Source organism: Homo sapiens, chromosome 12 (genome assembly GCF_000001405.40).
Source record: "Homo sapiens chromosome 12, GRCh38.p14 Primary Assembly".
Taxonomy (NCBI): Eukaryota; Metazoa; Chordata; class Mammalia; order Primates; family Hominidae; genus Homo; species Homo sapiens.
Genome location: NC_000012.12, coordinates 123063707 through 123085151, shown reverse-complemented (window position 1 = coordinate 123085151; position 21445 = coordinate 123063707). Strand labels below are relative to the sequence as shown.

Below are 21445 nucleotides of genomic sequence, written 5' to 3'. Positions count from 1 at the left end.
AATCAAGGACTCAGTTCCACATGTAGCACTCTACGGTGCATGCCACAACTCTAGGTTCATCTCAGGGCCTGATTTCTGTGCTTGGGCACCTGACATCTCTCAGCCTTGTCTCTCCCATCTGTGGAATGGATCTGGTTCTCTATTAAGAGCCATACTTGGCCCGATTAAGCTGGCTTCCCAGAGTCAGCTCAGAGCTGACCCTTGATGGGGGAGGGGGGTGTGTGGGATGGTGCTTCTTAGATTATGACTTTTTTATTTATTAAAAATTAATTCAGGGACTTTGATGTATCAGACTTTAAAAGGAGTTGACAGGTCACATGGTCTCTGAAAGCACAGGGCTGGTAATCCATTTAAGAAAACATTTTCTTCTTCTTTTTAATTTAATGGAGGAAATCATTAGCTGGGAAATTGGTAGAACTGATTTATTCTTGTTTTGGGGAAGGGGAGTGGAAGAGAAAATCTGCTTTAATTGCTGCTGGTGCTAGAAATATCTCAGCAAAATATTCCCATCAGCTGGGCCTGGCATGAGAGGAGGTAGTAGGCTAAGCGTTCGTCTCTTCACCCATGCTCTGGGGGCAGCGGAGGGGCTCTTTCTGGCCCCAGGTGGGTGGCCACGATGTCAGCAGTGGCAAATGTTCAAAGTTGCAGCCTTGGCTCCCTGGTGCTCCAGTTCCTCCCAAGCCTGAATGCACGGTGTGGTTCTGGTCGGGGGCTGGGTCCCAGAGAGCTCATGCTCAAGCCTTATTCCCAGGGAAACAGGACCAGGACCCCCGTCTGGGAAAAAGGACTACGTGCCTCTGGGGCTTCATCTGGTTCCAAGGGGAGGCAACTGGGTTCACCCTAAAAATAACCGAAGATGCAAACAGCTTCAGCATGCAAATGTTTTTCATATCTGTGGGCCAGATAATTTAAAGGTACAGCTGTTTTTCCACTGTCCCAATCTGTTTGTTTTTCCTGAAGCAGGGAGGAGGCCTGGGGTGAGCTGAGCCCTTCTGGGGTCACCATCGTCCAGCATCTCTGGCTGAGGTCTGCCTGGGTGCCCAGCTGCTGCCCTCTCTTTAGATGCCACCTTCCCGGGGTCACCCCAACCCTGTGACTCTCAGCAGGCCCTCAAGGGTCCCTGTCATGGAGCAGGAGCTGCCAGCAGGCCTGGCCTGAGTGCAGTCACCCCAGCAGGCTTGCTGAGGTTGGGGAGGTGGTCCACCTGATTTCAATTCACCAAGCTTGTTAAGCTCAGAAAAATGGGTGAAGGAGTTTTCAGAGAGAGGGAGGCTATAAATAGCCTGGCAGGACGAGGAAGTGAGAGGTTAGTGATTGTCAAGGTTGTACCCCAGCTCCTGGCCAGCTGCCACATCTCCAGGTCTCCCGAATGCCCCCAGGCTGCTGCCCCTCCACGATGTGCTGGCTTCAGGCTCTGTTGGCCAAATTCTGGTGTTCCAGGACCTTCCTGGCCTCCATGCCTCTTCCTGGTGGCTGCTGCCTTGTGAGGCTCCAGGGCACATTGTCACCTCCATGGCTGGGGACTCTCATCTACCCATGTCATAATCCTCCCATAGACATGTTACATCTGGGGGAAAGACTCGAAGCAGTTAGCCATCTGGGAGAAGCCTACCATCAAGTGGGGCGTCCTGCCACGCTGAGCACCGCTACCTCTCAGGGATGGTAGGCCTGTGGCTTCAGTTCCAAAGCCGTAGGGTGGGACCAGGAGTTAGTCTACAGTGGGGGTGAGGGACATAACTCCAGGCCAGGCACAGACATTTGAGGCATTGACCTATACAGGGTCTTCATTCATCCATCCATCCATTGGTTCATCCGTTTGTATATTTAGAAATTCTATTCAGTGCCTGCTGCGTGCCAGTGCTCTTCCAGCCCGAGGATACAGCCAACCAACATCCCTGCCCTCGTAGAGACTCCATTCTAGTAGGAGAGACAGAGAGTTAAAAACTTTTTTGTTTTTTTTTAGAGATGGGGTCTCACTATGTTGCCCAAGGGGGCTGGGCTCAAACTCCTGGGTCAAACAATCCTCCCACCACAGCCTCCTGTAGCTGGGACTACAAGCGTATGCTACTGTACTGTGCCTGGGCAGGCAATATTTTAAAAAGAACATGCTACGACACATGGATGAACCCATAAGACATGCTCAGTGAAAGAAGCCAGACACAGAAGGACAAATACTGTATGATTCCACTTACCATGATTATATGATGAGGTCCCTAGAGTTGTCAAATGCACAGCGACAGACAGTAGAACAGTGAGTGCTGGGGCTGGTGAAGAGGGAATGGGGAGTTATTGTTTAATGTGTAGAGTTCAGCTGGGGAAGGTGAATTGGTTCTGGAGAAGGATGGTGGGGATGTTGCACAACAATGTGAATGTGCCTAATGCCATAGAACTGTGTGCACTTGGGAGTGGCTAAGATGGGTCAGGCACGGTGGCCACGCCTGCAATCCCAGCACTTTGGGAGGCCAAGGCGGGCGGATCAGTTGAGGTCAGGAGTTTGAGACCAGCCTGACCAACATGGTGAAACCCCGTCTTACTAAAAATATAAAAATTAGCCGGGCATGGTGGTGGGCGCCTGTATTCCCAGCTATTTGGAGGCTGAGGCATGAGAATCGCTTGAACCGGGAGGCAGAGGTTGCAGTGAGCTGAAATCGTGCCACTGCACTCCAGCCTGGGCAAGACTCTGTCTCAAAAAAATGAAAATAAAGAAATGGCTAAGATGGTAAATTTTATGTTACATGTACAATTTTTAAAATAAAAAGGAAAGAAGAAAGAAAAGTAAGTCGGGTACTAGATAACGATCAACGCTCTGAAGAAAATTAGAAAGGGTCAGAGGAATGCCAGGGTTAGAGTCAGGGCCAAGTTTTACATCAGGGTGTCAAGGAAGGCCTTAGTGAGAAGGGGCCCTTGAGCAGAGGGGAGGGAGAGTGGCAAGTACAGATGCCCCAAGGCAGGAACTTGCCCACGGCCTTGCCAGGGCGGAGAGGTGGCAGGGCAGAGCCTGCAGGCCCTCACTCTGAGTGGGTGGAGAGAGGCCATTCAGGGCTTTGAGCATGTCCTGGTCCTTCTGGCCAGTCTGTTGAGGGAGCCAGGAGAAGGCTTTGCAGGGTGGGGGTACAGGCCCATCCTCAGCTACAGCTCCCACCTCTGCATGACTCCTACCTGTTTGTGGGCTCAGCACAACAGGAGTTAATGATGCTTTACTTAGTGGTTGAGTTTAAATTTTTCCTGTTTTTCTGGAGTCTCCACTACCCCTCCTTTCCCAGCTTTGGTGGGTTCAGGTGGGTCTGGGACAGGAGAGGGGTGGCTTGCTCAGTCTTCAGTCCCTGCTGTCTGGGCTTTGAAGCCACACAGCTGCCAAGAAGCAGACAGACTTTTGCCTACCCGGCAAGAGTGCACAGTGCCCCCTTCCCCTGGGTCTGCTCCCGAGACACCTCTCAGGAGGCTCCTGCAGGGCCAGCTTGGTGGGGTCGGGACCCTGGGCTTCAGACCCCGCCCTGTTGGAGAAGTTACCTCCCTTTCTGAGTCTGGATTTTTGCATCTGCGAAGTGAGAGGGCTGGGTGGCAGTCAGGTCTGGATTCTCATCCTGACGCTCCCTGCCAGAGGAGCCTGAGAAAGCAGCTTCGTGGCTATGTGAAACTCCCTGAGTGCCCAGCTCCACAGCCCAGCCGAGAACCAAGGCCCTCTGCATTTCCCCTCAGGGGTCTCTGCCACCACATTAAGGAGTGGGGGGGGACCTATTCCAATTTTACAGCCCCTGCCCAGACATTCCAGGGATAACCGCAGGAGTTGCTAGGGGAAACAGCAGTTGAGGGGTTCTAGAACAGGGCAGAGGAGAGGCCTGCAGTTCCAGACCCACGTCATTATGGAGTCTATGGTGCCCACTCCCCAGTTGGTATCTATGCTGTTCCCTGAGAGCCCCACCATCCACCTTCTCTCCTTTTAGAGGTGCCTCTGGAGCTAGGCTGTGGACAGAGCCTGCTCCCCTGCCCAGACACTGTGGGGTAAGTAGGAGAGGAGGGGTTGAGGGAAGAGACCAGGAGCTAGGCCTGGGCCTGGACCATGCGTCCTTTTACACTTGTCATCTCCTCAGGCCTTAGAACTGACCACCAGTCTAGTGTGACTATTTAAGTTCAATTATAAATTAAAGTGAAATAAAATGGAAAAGTTCTATTTCCCACTCCCATTCATCACATTTCAAGTGCTTAGTAGCCACCTGGGGCCAGTGGCAGGTCACGGCAGCTGCACTGGATAGTGCAGGTGTGTAACATGTTCATCACTGGGGAAAGTTCTATTGGGTGGCGCCAGCATCATCTCTAGAGCAAACCCATGGGGTAGAGATTGTTGCCCCATTCACAGCTGAAGAAGCTGAAGCTCAGAGAGGGGTGATGACTGGCTAGTCACGTAGTCAGTGAGTGCCAGTGGTCCTGGCACCGGGTTTCATTTGATCTCAAAGCATGGGTGTGGGGTTGGCACATGCATGTGTCTCCCTGCCCAGCTGACTGCTTACCTGGGATGGGTTGGAGGAGGCTGGAGGCCCACTTGTGGGCTACACACAGGCTTTTAGGATCTCTGCCTTGGGCCCCAGGGCCAGCTGGAGCCTCCCTTACTTGGTCACCCATGGGGAGCATTGCTTTAGTGGAAAGGCAGGGTGAGATGAGCACTCAGTTTGGGGCCTCTGGGCCTGCAACTTTGGGAACAAATCCCTTAGGAGGGGCTCTGGAATATTTCACTGGGCTCTGAAGACTTCATTTTAAAAGTGAGAAGCTGAGCACAGTGGCATGACCCTGGCCTGTATTTCCAGATACTCAGGAGGCTGAGGTGGGAGAATCACTTGAATCCAGGAGGTCGAGGCTGCAGTAAGCTATAATCACACCACTGCACTCCAGCCTGGGCAACAGAGTGAGACCCTGTGTCTTAAAAAAAAAATGTGACAACAATAGCCAAAAGGTGGAAACAGCTCACATGTCCATTGGCTGATGGATAATGCATAAGCAGAATGTGGTCCATCCATGTACTGGGATATGATTCAATCATAAAAGAGAATGAAGGACTGACACACGCCACAACATGGATGGACCTCGAAAACAGGATACCGAGTGAAAGAAGCCAGACACAGAAGGCCATGTAGTTTATGAGTCCATTTATATGAAATGTCCAGAATAGGCAAATCCATAGAGACAGACAGAGAGTAGATTGGTTGTTGACAGGGGCTGGGGGAGAGGGGACTGGAGAGAGACTGCTAATGGGTCTCCTTTTGGGATGCTGAAACTCTGGAACTAGATAGAGGTGGTGGTTGCACAACATTGTGAATATACTCAATGCCACTGAAGTGAACACTTTAAAATGGTTAAAATGGTAAATTTTGTGTTATATGTATTTTACTGCAATAAAAAAAGTGAGAAGAAGCGGTAGAATCTAGATGGTGAATATATGGATGTTCATTATAAAATGTTTTCAACTTTGCCATATGCTTGAACACTTTCATCATAAAACAGTGAGAGAGAGGCCGGGCACGGTGGCTCATGCCTGTAATCTCAGCACTTTGGGAGGCCGAGATGGGTGGATCACCTGAGGTCAGGAGTTCAAGACCAGCCTGGCCAACATGGCGAAACCTTGTCTCTACTAAAAATACAAAAATTAGCTGGGTGTGGTGGTGGGCGCCTATAATCCCAGCTACTTGGGCTGAGGCAGGAGAATTGTTTTGAGCCCAGGAGGTGGAGGTTGCAGTGAGCTGTGATCATACCACTGCACTCCAGCCTGACTCTGTCTCAAAAAAAAAAAAAAAAAAAAAAAAAAAAAAGAAAAGAAAAAAGAAAAAGAAGTGAAATAAAACACTGAGGGAGAAAGCGATGGGATTGGGCTGTGCCCCAACTTAGATGTCTCTGTGTCAGGGCAGCTGGGCCTGGTAGGCTCTGGTGCCGGATGCAGACCTGCTGTAGTTTTAGTCCTGAGGAGTCTACCAAGTGAGCAGGGAGAGATAGGAGGCTGGAGGATGCTGCTACTGTGCTCCCAGCCCTAAGGAGACCGCAGCTCCTGAGATGGGCCCAGGACAGCACTAGTGCCTGCCCTGAGCCTTCCCCAAGTCCTGCCACGTCTGAGTGCCTGGGAGTGCCAGTTGGTAGAACGTGGTATCATCTCTGTCTGTAATAAGGAGATAGAAGCTCAAGGAAGTGACCAGACTTGCCCCTGGTCATGTGATCTCCAAGAAGAGAGACTGCGACCCCACTGAGGTCTCGTGGCTTTCTTCCCAGCCCCATTTCGCTGCTCCCAGTATGAGTGGGGCCAGGTGGCTGAAGCCAGTATCGAAGCTGGGACGTGGGCAGCTGCAGCAGTGAGGCTGGCACAGGCGTGATGGGAGATGCCACCCAGCGTGGGGAGCCTGGGAGTCCCCATCCACCTGCCAGTGTGTCCAGGAGAGCCCCCTCCCCCTGCTGTGCCCAGCAGCCTCCCTTCTCCTCTGCTTCCCACATGGGTGGCACTGGGCCATCGGAGCCCTTCCATAGGTGGGTATCCCCTTATCCCTGAGGGTGGGAAGATGTGACTCAGGATTTGGCAACAGATTTTTAGAAACAGGGAGGCCGGGCAGGTGGAAATCCACAACGCCTCCCCTAACACAAGGTATCACCTAAGCCCGGGGAGAGGGTCACTTTAGTCTCTGGGGTCCCGACTTCAGGCTCTGGCTGGGCATCGTGGCGTGAGACGGAGGGCCCAGGCTCTTGGGGCAGCGGAGCACCACGAGCCAGGCGAGAAAGCCCCCATCTCCTCCCTTTTCCTTGGCATGGTGGTGGCCACCAGCTGCTGCTTTTGCCCACCGGTCTGGCCGGTACCCCTCCCCGCCTGGCCACCTGGACCCTGAGGCCTGGTATGGGGGAGGCTGCAGCAGCAGAACTGTGGGATTGGCTCTCTGCTGATGCCTTCCCTCTGGCATATGGCTCCTCCGCCCGCCTTGGGCTCTGCCAGCGGCTCCCCTTTCTCCATGGCAACTCAGCTCAGTGGTCCCAGTGGAGGAGAGAAAATCAATTCTCCCTCCTTCCCGCCCTCCCTCTCCGCTCCCCACCCCTTCCTCTCCGGCCTGCCTTTCTCCCTTCCTCCGGCATCCCTGCCCAGTCTCCCAGCTCCTCCGTCCACCCATCCTGGGGACACGCGTGCTCCTCAGTGTCCTCTGTCTCCAGGCATGGGCTGCTGGGAGAGCTGCGTGCTGGGGGCGGCCCCCTGAGGCCGGCAGCATGGGGAGCTCAGCGGACCTCTGCAGGGATGGGAGGCTGCTGCGCGACCCCAGCCTGGCTCCTGTGGTGCACACCTCCTGGCTCTGATACTTTGTCCCCCCACCCCTTCCCTCACATTGGCTTCCTAAAAGGTAATTTTCTGCTCCTTCTGAAACATGTCACAGCCTCAGGATGGGTTTATTAGCAAGGAAGGCTCTGTCTGGTCACGCGGGCTGCTTGCTTTCTCTCCGAAGAGCTGGGATGGAGGGAGAGAGAGAGGGAGAGGCCTCACCTGGCATGCTCAGAACTCAGAGGGGGCACAGCAGAGTTTGGGTGCGTGGAGTTCTCCTCTAGGGAGTCTGTGAGTAGCTCGACTCCTGCCTCCTGGTGCTTGGGTAGGTACAGCACTCCATTGTACTTCCATTTTCCACTGTGATTGCCACGGGGCATAGAAAATCTGCTTTCCTGGACTGTGGTTGGACCAAGGAAAGGGGAGGAAATTCAGAGGCATGCACGTGCGCCCTAGATGGGGCAGGGCTCTGGAGTGGTGATTGTTGGCCACACGTTGGCTGTCTCTCTGACCAATCCTTCATTATCTGAAAATGAGAGTTCAGTGAGGAAATGTTTTGTCCCTCTCCACCCCTGATAACAAGGGGTGTCCCTCCCCACCCCGATATCCCCCATAACCAAGATTTCCAAGAAGGTGGTGTAGGGAGGATCGTCTGCTGGCTGGCTTCAGGCAGAGCGGCCCTGCCAGTGTGTCTGTCTGGATAGCACCATCTGTTTGGGACAGCCCCTCGGCACAGTTTGGTCAGGCAGGATTTCAAGCCTGCTGCCCAGTGGGTCAACATTCTGCATCATTTCTTCCCCATCCCCAGTAGATGCATTCAGAATGACTCTTAAGTGGCTTTCCCAGAGGGAATCTGTGAGGCTAACCCCTCAGCAGCGCAGCCCGGGGAGACACACTCCGACCCATGCCCGGCACAGGCAGCTCCCACCGTGACCTCTGCTTCCTGTGCAGCAGGCAATGGAAAAAAGAACCCCTGGTTGTCAACAAGAACAGCTCCCGTGTTGATGGAAAGTGAGGGCCAAAGAAACCGGATTTAGCACCCAGTTCTTAGAAGTTATGGGTTTGAATGGTGTCTGAGAGTAACCCCTCTCTGATCTTTAAATAGGAAGTGTTACACCAAGTAGCCCTGTCTGACTCACCAGGGAGCTTCAGAGTTCAGGTACCAGGGAACCCATAGTCAACTCTGAAAGAGGCACTCAACTTGGAGGGCTGACTGCAGAGAAGTCTAGATGTTCCAGTATGTGTCTGTGTCTCAGGGTGCAGTGGGGATTGAGGGTGGGACCAGAATTGGCTCACAAAGTGAATAGTTGAATATAGGACTTCAGCCTCATGAGCACCTGATTGGATTCTGTTTTTTGTTTCAGCATTCTCTCTGTCAGATTGTTTTAATAACAGCATCAGAGCCTTGAAGGTGGCCTGAGACAGGACTCCCTGTGTGGTTCTGTGGTTGGGCATCTTTAAACTATGTTTATCTCCCCAAAGCCCTGTTTCTTTAAAACTGCCTTTGAGCCCCCCAGAGACCCTCAATTCTTGGTGCTTCTCTTTGAGCAATCAGATGGGTTACAACTGGGCAGGATGAGAGGAATGCTTTTGTGTCTGCACAGGTCTGTGCTGTTTCTTCCTCTGCTTTGGGGCTGGAGAATCACCCAGACCCTCCTGGCATCTGGGCGGTGTGCAGGCTTCTTAACAACATTACGGGCATCTGGATTCTGGTTGGTTGCTGGGAATTCTGATGGGTTTACGAGTTATGTGATGGGCGGGGAGGCCATGTGCTAGTTTTGTTTAGTTTGGTTTTGGTTTGCTAGTGAGCGGAAAATCTGATGTGACACCTTAAAGGCCAGCCCACAAGTGGCAGCACCTGATCGTCATCTCTGCTCTCAGCCTCTATGGGAGGCACCCGGCCCTGCCGTTGCTGCTGGGCTTCCTCTGCCCTGAGGGCTTTCGTGTGAGCTCAGGGCAATGCAAGTGTGTGTTCAGTTACCAAGCCCAAAAGTCAAAAGAACAGCCAGAGCCAAGCTGGCTTTTGAGGAGAGAGGCCGGCTCCTCCAGCCTGGCTGCATTTGCCTGAGGTAGATCGTGAGTGCTCTGCCCCAGCCTCTCCGCCCTCCTGTGTCCTTTCTCAGCGGCTGCTCTAAAGTATAACTTCACGTAGTGGTGACTTAACTTGAAAGGAGCCGCAGGGGGCGTGAGAGCAGCTTGGAGAGGTGGGAGCCTGGGCCGCCGATGGCTCCAGCCTGTGAAAGTGTGGAAAGCTCGTTCCAGGAAAATTGGAATAATCACCTCATTGGCTGGCTTTCAGGCGGTGAGTGGTTCTTTCTTTAATTTGACAGGAGCGCTGGGATTCAGGGAAGGGCGTGGTGGGAAGCCCTGTGGTTCAGACAGACCCCACGAAGCCAGTGAAGCTCCCAGGAGAAAGTCTGATTTATTTTTCCCTGGCCTGGCTTGCAGCATGGTGGAATCCACCACCCAGGCTGTGCTGGGCAGGACAGGCCGCTCTGATGCGGGTCAGAGATTCTGGGACTCAGAACATCTGCCTTGGCCCCCGCCCAGCCCGTGCCTAGCTTTGAAAAAGTCTGTTGGTGGTGTTGCATGATGACTTAAACTGCAGGAAGAGAGAAGCTCATGAACATTAAACTCTCCCCCAGTCTCTCTTGTGAGTTTCCTGAACACACACGTACTTATACATGCACATACACGCCTTTGCCCACAAGTGCACATATGCTTGCAGATACACACACACAGCCTCCCCACATGCACACTCACACAAATACATGTGCACATGCCATGCAGGCATGCACATGCAACTCACAAGCTCACACCCACATGCACGCACACACAAATATGTTTTCCCTGCCTGCTAGCAGGGGTGTACCTACCATTTGGCATTCTTCTCATGCTAACATGATCCCATGTAAACGGTTCCCAGGATTGTTAAGATCAGACAGCTGTCCTTTTTATGCATTGCTTTACAGCTCAGTGTCTCACCTGAGTGAGACAACTGTCCCTGTCCACTTCTGGAAAGAGCTGCCTCTGTTCCCTCTTTTCCTCCCTGGTGCTCTGTTGCATGGTCTGGTGTATTACAGGGATTGGCATGTTTGTGTCTGCAGGGGAGCCTCTGGGTGCTGGCTTTCTGTCCAGGGCTTCTGAGGGCCGCCAGCCCAAAGGGAAGGGATTCATCAGAGACTGATAAGCTTAGGGTGTACTGAGCTGTGAGGCCATATGTGTGTGTTTGTGTGTGTGTGTGGGTGGGTGGGTGTATGTGTAGGCATGTGTGTGTCTATGTGAGGTGTGTGATGTGTTTGCATATGCGTGTGTGGTGTGCTCATGTGGGGGGTGTATATGTGAGTGTGTGTTGTGTGCATATGGACATGTGTGTATTTATATGTGCATGTGTGGTATGTTGTGTGTGTGAGGTGTGTGTGCATGTGTGTGGCATGTATATGTGCCTGTGTGTGCCTATGGGGTATGTGAGAGTGTGTGCAGTGAATGTGAGTGTGGCATTTGTATTTGGGCATCTTTAACTTTGCATTCTGCTTCTCCCATTTTCTGCTTCAATTCCCAGAGCAGGGCTCAGCAAACTCCTTAACCTATGTCTGCACTGGGATCTTAAATCCACTTCACAGACACTTTCCCAAGTCTCATCTGATTTAACAGTTTGCAGCCACCCTAGAAGTACTTGGCGTTGCTCCCATTTTACAGATAAGTAGACCGAGTCTCGGAGGGTTGAGTAGCCTGCCTGTGAAGGCAGAACCAGAACTTGGATCCTTGGCTCTTTCACTCCTTCGCTCCCTCCCTCCCTCTGCCTCACTCATTAGTTATACATGCAACCTGCTCTGCACCGGGCATGGCTGCTGGGCTCTTGGCCTGAAGACTATATTCAGCCCTTGTCCTTCAGCGGGTGCTCAGTATGGGAGGAGGCCAAGGAGGTTGGGTGAGGAGAGCTGGGGGGTGCTCACTCTCCCTGCACTCCACGGCCACCCACCTTAGTTGTCTGAGAAGAGAAAAGGAAGGAATTAGAGAGAGGAAGGAGCAGGCAGCCTGGGGATGAGCTGGAGGAGAGCCCCCTGCATCTGCCCTACCACTCACTTGCCCCAGGGCTTCCACCCAGAGTACGAGGCCACTCTACACTGTGGAAAATCCGGGTCACTCTGATCCTGATCCACTGTTATTCTGCTATAGGAGCAGAGTGGCTCCCTTTCTTTTAAAAATTGCTACATCATGTATCATCAGAAAGACAGTCTGCATCGTGGGGTCTATGTGTTTTAGGCTGAGGATTTCAGCATTGGTGGCTCAGGGTAGTAGGAGCAGCACTGCACATGAGGAGATATGTGCCTCAGTTTCTTCATCTGTAACATAGAGATAACACTGTCTACTTCATGTGTCTCACCACAGAGAACAGGTGTGATGTGCTAGGAGATGAACCACCTGTGTAGGCGGTGGCGAATGGTAGGCTGTTGTTAGAGACAAGGCATTCCCATAACTTACTCTTCAATGGGTCAGGAGTGTTTATGCCCAGAGATGCACACAGAGAGCAGGAGGGACACAGATGCAAGGCAGATGGAACAAAAGGGAAGCAATTGCTGCTTTTGGGTAGTGTAGAGGGGAGTTCTTATGTTAGTTTTGCAATTTTTCCGTAGCTTAGAGACTATATGAAAATGAAATATGGAAGAAAAAAGGCTCATCCATTTAAGAGCTCTTCCTAAGAGGTTGAAAGTATACCGATGTAACAAATAGCAGAGGGTTTGTACCTTAACGACCCATGAGAAGCCAAGTGAATAAAACGGAAGCTCCATCCTCATGGAAGCTGGAGACAGCTGGCCATCCCTGAAGGGGATAGGGAGCTCTGGGGAGGGGGGCAGGCGATGGAATCACACCAGCCAAACTCTCAAGAGGCAGGGCTCTCCCTAAACACCAGGCCTCGGAAGTCAGGCTCCTTCCCTGATCCCTGTTGGGGCTCCGGATTCTGGCTTGGATGACTTCCCCAGGGCCCTTGCCTGGTGGCCACAGCCTCTTCTTCCAGAGCTCCAGGTGAGGGAAAGTTGTATCTTATGATGGTTTCCTGACTGGGTGCTGGTTTTATTTGGTCCAACGTTCAGTTGCAGGTTTACCCAGTAGGTCAGCTTTGTGGCCCTCTCTGCTGCCTTCGGCATCCTGAAAGCCCCTTTCAGATGAATGTTTAACCTCAAAACCTTGAGCAGCTGTTGACAGGGAGCACTAGGCCTGGAGTCTGAGAGTCTGGGGTCCCAGCTCTGCCCCAGTGGATCTCTCTGAGACCTGACTGTCTCCCTGACAAAGCCAAGTTTGGTGGGAATGAATGAATGAGGGACTTGAACATGCTCTGTCACTCTGCAAATGGTAGGTGTGTCTTGGGAGAAGACAGGAGAGGGACAATTGCCAGCCTTAACTTGCTGTCTACTTTGTGCCTCACTTTCCCCACCTTGTTGCCATAGTGAGAGGAATTTTCCTCATCAAGTCCCCATCACCTTTCTCTAAGCAAGACTATGCTCAGGGGCTGGAGGGCAGGGGAGAATGCAAGTTAGAAGACCTTGTCCCTGTCCCCTGTCTACCATCAGCCTGATTATAAGATCTTGGAGAATTCCTTTGACCTCTCGGAGCCTCAGTTTCCTGGTGTGCACAGCAGAGTTAGCGATGGATGCCCTCAGGAGAATGGGAAGGACAAATGGATGGTGTGTGCCCAGCACTTTGTTTCATGCCAGCGTCCTCACTTTTCCTGTCACCCTGTGCCCTTGTAAAGCACTTCACAGCTTTCTAGGCGTGGGCACACCATTATCACAGCCTGTGGCTGTGAACAGGCTTTGTCAAGCCTGTGCAGACAGAGAATGGGGAATGGGTAAATTTAAAACACTCCTTCCGCCTGACTTCATTTGCCTGCTGGGCCTGTGCTAATTGCATGGCTGAAGTCCCCTTTCCAGGACTCTAGATTCCTGAGATGGAAAGGATCGGGACTGGGCTGCTCTAGGACCTTCCTAAGCTGGTAGAAGAGCAAAACTTGGTAGTCATATAGGCTCGGGTTTTGAGTCCTGGCTGTGTGACCCACAGAAGCTGCTTAATCCCATTGCACCTCAGTTTCCTATTGTGTGGAATGGGAGTGATGGTCCCCCCATGGGCGTTGTGTGAGAATTCAAGATTCTGTGCTTCTTGCCTGCCTCGTCGCAGGAGCGTGTGAAGCGGATGATCGTCTTGTGGGGCTCTCCTCCAGTGTCAGATTGCTCTGTACCAGAGGCTGTCCTAGGATCAGGGCCAGGCCAACCGCTGCTTTTCATGCTCCCAAATGTTTGGAGAGCCAGTGCGGTGTCTTAGCCAGCAGAGCTTTCTGTCAGGAGGTGTGATCATCGAGCCGTTTGTACCCTGCCAGCCACCTGAACCCAGAGCCACTCCCTGGACTGAGCTTGCCCTCAGGGGAAGGTGGGCAGCAGAGTTATCCAGCCTGCGGGTCTCTCTCTGGCTGTCCTCCACCCTAGGAAGCACAACACGTGGTCAGCAGTGTGGCTTATGGGGAGCACAGGGAAAAGATGAGCAGCTCCATATTTCATGGCTGAAACTTGGATATGGCTGCAGTGCCAAGGAGGGGCCTCCCCTGGACCCAGAAAGAGCAGGGGCTGGAAGTTATGCTTGAGACACCAGCTGGCAGCTTCAACTTAGAGAAGAGCCGGCATGCCTGTCCCCCTCTGCTGCCTGCAGCCCTCTGCCCACCCTACTCAAGAGTTCAGCCTGTTGCTCCCTCCCAAGCAACAGTGGACACTCGAGGATCCCAGGTCGGACCTGCTAGATGGGGACACTGAGCCAGGCAGACCCAGGGCAGCTTTCCTGAGTTCCTTGGAATCACACTGAGCTGGGCCAGCTGGATAGGCTCCTGGAGGCAGAACGGAGTTCAACTCCCTCTCTCTGCTGGCCTCCTTCCCTGCATCCCCCTGTTTGCAGCTAGGAAGGGCTGACCTGGTGACTCGGTGACATCCCTTCCATGTGGCCCCAACATGAGTCACACGTCACGGCATTCTCTGAGTTGGGCAGATGCGCGAAGGGGCATGTTGATGTGGGGCCCTTAGGGCTGCCCCCACAACTAGCCTGGTCTGAAGAACCGGTTGGTCCTGTGGGGTTATTTAGAAGGCATGGGGGGCAGGCCTAAGCTCCCCAGCTCCTCCTTGGAAGAGGCCTGGCCTGTGTAAGCTGTTACTGCCTGGCTTGAGGAAGTGGCACACCGAGGAGCATCCTGTCTCATAGGGAGCCCATCCCATGGGCAGCTCTGCTCCTCAGGGCAGCCAGTGGAGCTGGGAGGGGGGACATCGCCTGCTTCCCAGACTCAGCGTGTGTCATGTTCCTCTGGGCTGCCCGGCCTGGGTGTTCTAGGAGGCCTCTGTCCAGAGGAGCAGACCTTCCCTGATGCCCACACCAACATGAATGCCTGCCATGAGGCCCTGAGGGTGCTGATGACAGCAGCTGTGACAGCGGTGCCATTGCCCACACGGTCCTGGGGCCCTTGGATACGGTCCAGCTCAAACCCCTTCACTATAGCTGGGACACTAAGGCCCACACAGGCCAGGGACCTGCTTCAGCTCCCAGGCCCTTGTTACCACCACTTGATGTGATCTTCTGTTTGCAGTCTGATAGCTTTCAGGGCCCAGTCCCTGCTCCCCACAGTGGACATGGGCTTAGGGCATGATTTAAGCCCCAAGAGCAGTGAAGAGAGCTGGGCTAGGGGCCAGGGCATGGCGACCTCTTGCCCCAGGCTCAAGGCTAGTAGAACCTCTGGACTCGTCTGTCCCTGGGCTGTATCTTATCAGCAGACTCTCCTGGCTGGGTCTTGCCAACCTGGGGACTCTTAGCTCCTTGCCAGTCACTCAGTGAGCCCCTGCTTGTCATATGAGCACCGGGTGCAGAGCCCCACTGCTGGGCAGCTTCCTGAGTGCATTGCATCTGGCTTTTCACTGTCACCTTGGGAAACGGTCAGGGCAGATGACCAGAATCTGTTCCAGGAAGGGGCCTGGAAGTTGGGTCACCTGCCCAAGGTCAGACAACTGTTCTGGGACAGAGTTTGGAATTAAAATCTTTTATCTAACAAATATTTGCTGGGTACCTACCTTTATTAAGCAACTGCTGTGGCCGAGCCCTGGGGACACAACTTTGAACAAGGCTCGGGCCCTGAGCTCCAAGGCAAACATGTGGCTACAGTGCAGTCTGATAAATGCCAAAAGGAAAGTGGGCGCAAGGTGCCCGGGGTGCTGACTCGGCCCACGGGGCTTGGGAAGGCTTCCAGGGGGCCTGGAAGGCGAGGAAGCTTCACCTGGGGGAAGGGCTCTTTGAGCACAGAGGACTCTGGCCATCTGATTCCAGGCCTATAGGGACCCCAGCAAGCCCAGGAGAGGTGTGGACTCTGGCCTTTTCTTTGCTGCGTGGCCTGCAGCAATCCCTGTCCTGTCTCCAGTCTCTCCATCTGTCTGCAGGGGAGATTGTACCAGGCCCCGTGTTTCATTCTCTGGAGGGCTTCCTGATAACCTCAGGAGATGTGTTTAAAACGCAGGTTCTGAGGCCTCTCACACAGAGGTTCTGATTTAGCAGGTCTGGGAGCAGCGCATAGGAATCTGCATTTTTTTCCTTTTTTTTTTTTTTAGAGAGTAGGTCTTACTCTGTTGTCCAGGCTGGAGTGCAGTGGTGCAATCATAGCTCACTGCAGCCTCCTGGGCTCAAGTCATCCTCCTGCCTCAGTCCCCTGAGTAGCTGGTTCTACAGGCACAATCCACCACTTCTGGCTAATTTTTAATTTTTTTGTATAGATGGGGTCTCACCATATTGCCCAGGCTAGTCTCAAACTCCTGGTCTCAAGCAATCCTCCCACCTCAGCTTTCCAAAGTGCTGGGATTAAGGGTGTGAGCCACTGTACCTGGCCCTGGAATCTACATTTTAAACAAGCTCACTGGGTGTTTCTAAAGCAGCTCATCCCTGTACTTCAGTTTGAGAAAAGCTGGACTTAACCATCTTGGCTCTGACATTATCAATCCTACAGTTGTCCTGACCATGTCCCTTGAAGTGGGCAGAGCCTATGGTGTTGGGGTGGTGGAGGTGCCTGGGGTTCGTAAGTGCTGGAGCTCTCTGAGATTCCAAACTCTGCAGAATCTCAGAGAAACCCTTGGTCATAGTCCTAAAGCTTCCAAAAGTCTTGGCCAACTCCCTCAGCTCCCCATTATGGGAGGGTCTCCAAAAGTGGAGACAGGTAGGGGATGCTGAGCCCCTTGGGGTTAGGGGGCTGTTAAGTATTTCTCAGATCTCGCTTCAAGCATTTCTGATTAGAAAGACCTGCAGTCCCTGCGTTAGTTCTTAAGGCTGTCTGCTTAGGGCTGGTGTGCCCAAGGATTATTTTTATTTATTTATTTATTTATTTATTTATTTATTTATTTATTTATTATTTTTTGGAGATGGAGTCTCGCTCTGTCGCCCAGGCTGGAGTGCAGTGGGGCAATCTTGGCTCACTGCAAGCTCCGCCTCCCAGGTTCACGCCATTCTCCTGCCTCAGCCTCCCAAGTAGCCACCTCACCCGGCTAATTTTTTGTATTTTTAGTAGAGACGGGGTTTCACCGTGTTAGCCAGGATGTTCTCGATCTCCTGACTTTGTGATCCGCCCACCTTGGCCTCCCAAAGTGCTGGGATTACAGGCGTGAGCCACCGTGCCCGGCCGTGCCCGTGGATTTTTAGCAAAGCTGAGCTGGCCTGACCTGACATGGGGGCCTAGAAAAAGCTGTTCAGGTACCATGTGGGGAGGTGGAGAAAGTGGGGAGGCTGGGCAGGGGGAGGCCAGTGCACTTTGGGCCACATGACTACTTCCCCTCAAGTGTCTTAAGAGCCTGGATGCAGACGGGTTTCTCACCGTTGGCTCCTCGCATGCCCTGAGCTAATTGGGCTGCAGCCCTGCTAACAGCCTGGTGACAGGCTGCCTCAGTCCTGCCCAGATGCTAGTGTCACCCTTCCAGCCAAGAGACCCATTGGCTGTTCTCCTGCAGGGTGCCCGGAGCAGGAGACACTAGCTGACCTATATGTGGTCAGCTCAGAGTGTGTCCTGTTTCCCAATGCCACAAACCCAATGTACTAGTTTCCTGGGGCTGCCGTCACAAATGACCACAAACTGCATGGCCTAAACAGCAGAAATTTATTCTCTCACAGTTCTGGAGGCCAGAAGTCTCAGATCAAGCTGTCAGCAGGACCACACTCCCTCTGAAAGCTCCAAGGAGAATCCTTCCTTGCCTCTTGCAGCTTCTGGTGGCCCCAAGTGTTCCTTGGCTTGTGGCTGCATCACTGCAGTCTCTGCCTCTGCCTTCACATGGCCTTCTCCTGTGTCTCCTGTGTCCTCTCCTCTTCTTCTTTTGCGTGTGTGTGTGTGTGTGTGTGTGTGTGTGTGTGTGTGTGTGTGTGATGGAGTTTCACCCTTGTCTCCCAGGCTGGAGTGCAGTGGCACAATCTTGGCTCACTGCAACCTCTGCCTCCTGGGTTCAAGCGATTCTCCTGCCTCAGCCTCCTGAGTAGCTGGGATTACAAGCATGTGCCACCATGTCCAGCTAATTTTTGTATTTTTGGTAGAGACGGGGTTTCACCATGTTGCCCATGCTGGTCTCGAACTCCTGACCTCAGGTGTTCCACCCACCTTGGTTCCCAAAGTGCTGGGATTACAGGCATGAGCCACCATGCATGGCCATGGCTGTAGACTCTCTCCTCTTCTTATAAGAACACCAGTCATTGGGTTTTGAGCCCATCCTCAATCCAGTATGATTTCATCTAGAAATCCTTCACTAATCATATCCACAAATACCCTATTTCCAAATAAGGTCACATTCTGAGGCTCTAGTTAGATGTGAATTTGGGGAGGGGGCTGCACTATTCAACCCCTTGCACCCAGCAGGCAGAATGTCACCAGATAAAGGGCAAACCTACTGCACTGGCCGGGGAGTGTGGCCTGGCAGCGGGTCCCAGGAAACACACCCAGGGCTTTTAGCAGCCTCAGGCCCTGTCATCAGCAAGGGCGACTTTGCCTCCACGAGTAGAATCAGAGAGCCCAGAGCAGCCGAGGGGGTCCAGTAGGCAGCCACTGTGGAGAGGGTGTACTAGTCAGACACGTATTTTAAGGTGTCCTGGAGGAGAAAGGCTGCATGTGGCTCCAAAAAGTCAATCAAGACCCCAGGTTGAGTCCCAGTGGGGCAAACTGTTCAGTATAGGAACTTTCTCTAATAGCAGTACCTTGTAGCCCATCCCAGGGGGTGGTTAAGCCCCTCTCACAGGATGGGCATTGCAGAGAGGAGTCTGTCTGTCTCCCAGCTCTCAGTCTGTGCTTGTCTCAGAGGTTCATGCCCCCACCCCCAACAGCTGTGGGGTGAGGTCACGGACTCACTCCACAAAGGCAGTGGAGATGATGGTGGCATACATAGCCAGACCCCTGCTCTTGCTCCTGGCTGGCTCATGAGTTTGTGGGTTGTGGGGAGTACCCACAATGCTCAGTCTTCAGGGCATCTACAGTGACGGCCCCTCACCCTCTGCCCCTGCCTGCACCAGCCCACTCCGTGTGTTTCCCAGCTTGGTCTTCTCTACCCCTCGTCAGGCCCTCCCCTTGCTCGATCTTGACACTTGGCCTCCTTCCTGGCCAGGCTGTCTGCCTGCATCCAGCCCTGGCTCCCTGAGCTCCTCTCGGATACATCACTGGGCACATGGTGGAGTGGCCATTTCAACACATGGCACCTGCAAGAGCTTTCATCTCCTTCCCCTGGCCCATCGCAGATGAGACACACTGACACCTCAGCTGTGAAGGTGACATTTGTCTACACACACGCACACAAACGCATACAGGGCTGGATACAACAAGGGACAAGGCTTAGGCCTGCTGCAGACCTTGGGTGAGTCTCTGCCCCACGTCTCCAGCAGTTAATGAAAGACAATCTTGCTCTGGGAAGCACTTCCTGCATCTGACTTCTAGAAGTCTCTGCTGTCCAGGATGACAGAGGGTGCCCCTGAATGCAGGAAGTGCTGAGTGTTGCCAGTACCAGTGCCCCTGTGGCTGCCTGACCACCATCCATTCCTTCCCATCCTCCTGCTGTGAGAGAACCAACAGACCACCTTGGGGATGATGTCCCCTAAGGCTCCCAGGCCAGCCCAGGGTGCCTGTTGGGGAGCTGCCTCCTCATCCTCACACCCACAGGCTTTACATACAATTAATCATTTAAAATGAACAGCCCTTCTGAGCTTGCTGGCCTCCTGCAAGTCTCACACCAACTTGCCAAAATCCTTTCCCTTTTCTGGGCCCCTTGCTTTTACCTGTCAAAAAGACATAATCTGCTGGGACAAGGTGTGTCAGCTGCTCCCACAGAGCCTGGTGCCTTGGAAATGCCCCATAAATGGTTGTTCCTGTCTTGCATCCTCCTGCCTCTCCTGCCAGCCCCGTTGGTTCCCCATTGACTCCGTCTCCAGTGTCTGCTGTGCACCTGCTCTGGGCAGAGCCCTGTGCGCTGTCCCTGGCACCAGGTGGCTCTCATGCTGCCCCTGCAAAGCAGCAGCTAGAGATGAGCTGAGTCCTGCTGCCTGCCCCATGACAGTGACTGGAGGGCTATGGGGGAACCCTGGATGCCATCGGGGACCTCTTCACCCTTTCTTCTGGTTTTTTGGATGCTCTCGGAAAGCCTTCTGGGTGGCCCCTTGAGCTTGACCTCACAGACCGATGAGGCAGCTGCTCCAGGCTCAGCACTGCAGTTGCACAAGGATGGACAGGGCCTTGTGCAGCCGTCCAGGGGCCTCCAGCGGCTGTGGGTGGCAAGTGCCTGCAGAATGGGGGCTGTAGCTCAGCTGTCCCAATGGGAGACTCTGAGCAAGGCTCTGAAGGGTGAGCAGGGCATGGCAGGCCCAGGCTGAGGACATCTCAGGTGCCCAGTGCCTCACTGTCACCTCATTTAATCCCACTCAACCCTCCAAGGTGGGTGGTGGTCCACAAATGGGTACACTGAGGCCTGGAGCAGGTAAAGGACTTGCTCAAAGACAAGGCTTGAATGTGAACGTGGTCTGGCCCCAGAGCTAGTCACTCCCTGTGTCCTGCTGCATCTGATTCATTGTGTTGTTTGTTTCCCACTAGCTTTTTTTTGCAGGGTGAGGGTGATGTGCTTACCCCCACAACCTTCCCTGATTTTCTCCTGTTCCTGCTGTTGTATTTGGGGCTGTTCAGTGCCTCCTCACTTCCCACCCTGTTGACACAGGGGTGTTGCTGGGCTCGTTTTGTTTTTGACCCAGTCAGCCTGGCAGGGAAGTGGCGGGCTGTGCGCAGAGCTTCCCGAAATAGCCCCAGGCTCCCCGCCAAAGATAGAGGAGCCAGACTGTGCGCGATGGGCTTGGGCCAGTTGAAAGATGTCTTGGTTCCCTACTCCCCTCAGCTCCCCTGCCCTGTGCCACCCCCAGCCCAGGTCTTGATGCTCCTGCACATACCTGTGCCCCGTGGTGGCTGAGAGCCTCCTGTGGGCTGCAGGCCTTGGGGTGCTGGTTGGGATCGGTTTGGTGTCACCCTGGGCCCAGAATGAGGAGTTCTCATCCCTTCCCTGCTACTGACTTGCCCGATGACCTTGACCAAGTCCCTGTCGCTCTCTTGGTTTCCATTTTCCAATTTGGAGTGGGGAGAGTGCGTCTGTCTGCCTGCTGGCAGCGTTGCTGGGAGGGTCGAAACAGTGAGCAACGGCCCCAACCCTGGGAAGGCTGGCAATAATGCATAGTGACAAAATGATATCAATGATTTGTTTCCCCTAGTCCTGACTGTTTTGAGTGTGGGGACACAGTTCTTTAGCAGGGCTGATCCCCAGCATCACCATCACCATCACCATCATCATTATAGTAATAATAGCGGCTGCTGCTGTTGCTTGGGTGTTGTGTGCTGGGTGCTTTACATTGATTGTCTGTTAATTTATTCCCCTTACTACCCTATGAGGTGTGTGTGGTATTGGACTAGGTCCACATACCTATAAAATGAAGGTCCACATACCTTCACCTATAAAATGAAGAACTGAGGCTCAGAGAGTTTAAGTAACTTCCTTAAGACCAAGTGAGGGGTGGAGCTGTGTGATCAGAGCACCATTCTGATGTCAAAGCCTGAGTTCTGCCTGCAATGCTGTGACCCCTCCTCCAGGGGTCCCTGCTCTA

At 53.3% G+C, this 21445-nt stretch overlaps 1 protein-coding gene and 1 long non-coding RNA gene across 30 annotated transcripts in view, besides 5 other annotated features; one reads left to right on the top strand and one right to left on the bottom strand.

The window, feature by feature from the left end:
• Positions 1–21445, top strand: part of PITPNM2 (phosphatidylinositol transfer protein membrane associated 2) — a 168369-nt gene that overhangs the window by 66697 nt on the left and 80227 nt on the right. The gene's annotated exons all lie outside the window — the stretch shown is intronic.
• On the bottom strand, positions 408–3768 carry PITPNM2-AS1 (PITPNM2 antisense RNA 1). The gene is made up of 3 exons (NR_038290.1): positions 3160–3768; positions 2193–2264; positions 408–1917 (listed from the first exon to the last, which is right to left on the bottom strand). It is a non-coding gene; the product is annotated as a PITPNM2 antisense RNA 1 (long non-coding RNA).
• Positions 1398–1597: an enhancer, noted in NCBI's record as "active region_7250". NCBI's record gives its function as "activates an Ori minimal core promoter by ATAC-STARR-seq in GM12878 lymphoblastoid cells {active_cell/tissue: GM12878}" and the evidence as "EXISTENCE:reporter gene assay evidence [ECO:0000049][PMID:35858748]".
• Positions 6483–7204: an enhancer, noted in NCBI's record as "H3K4me1 hESC enhancer chr12:123562495-123563216 (GRCh37/hg19 assembly coordinates)". NCBI's record gives its function as "activates a minimal SCP1, AML or CMV promoter by ChIP-STARR-seq in primed H9 embryonic stem cells {active_cell/tissue: H9 hESC(primed)}" and the evidence as "EXISTENCE:reporter gene assay evidence [ECO:0000049][PMID:30033119]".
• Positions 13961–14833: an enhancer, noted in NCBI's record as "H3K4me1 hESC enhancer chr12:123554866-123555738 (GRCh37/hg19 assembly coordinates)". NCBI's record gives its function as "activates a minimal SCP1, AML or CMV promoter by ChIP-STARR-seq in naive H9 embryonic stem cells {active_cell/tissue: H9 hESC(naive)}" and the evidence as "EXISTENCE:reporter gene assay evidence [ECO:0000049][PMID:30033119]".
• Positions 18809–19310: an enhancer, noted in NCBI's record as "H3K4me1 hESC enhancer chr12:123550389-123550890 (GRCh37/hg19 assembly coordinates)". NCBI's record gives its function as "activates a minimal SCP1, AML or CMV promoter by ChIP-STARR-seq in primed H9 embryonic stem cells {active_cell/tissue: H9 hESC(primed)}" and the evidence as "EXISTENCE:reporter gene assay evidence [ECO:0000049][PMID:30033119]".
• Positions 19469–20331: an enhancer, noted in NCBI's record as "H3K4me1 hESC enhancer chr12:123549368-123550230 (GRCh37/hg19 assembly coordinates)". NCBI's record gives its function as "activates a minimal SCP1, AML or CMV promoter by ChIP-STARR-seq in naive H9 embryonic stem cells {active_cell/tissue: H9 hESC(naive)}" and the evidence as "EXISTENCE:reporter gene assay evidence [ECO:0000049][PMID:30033119]".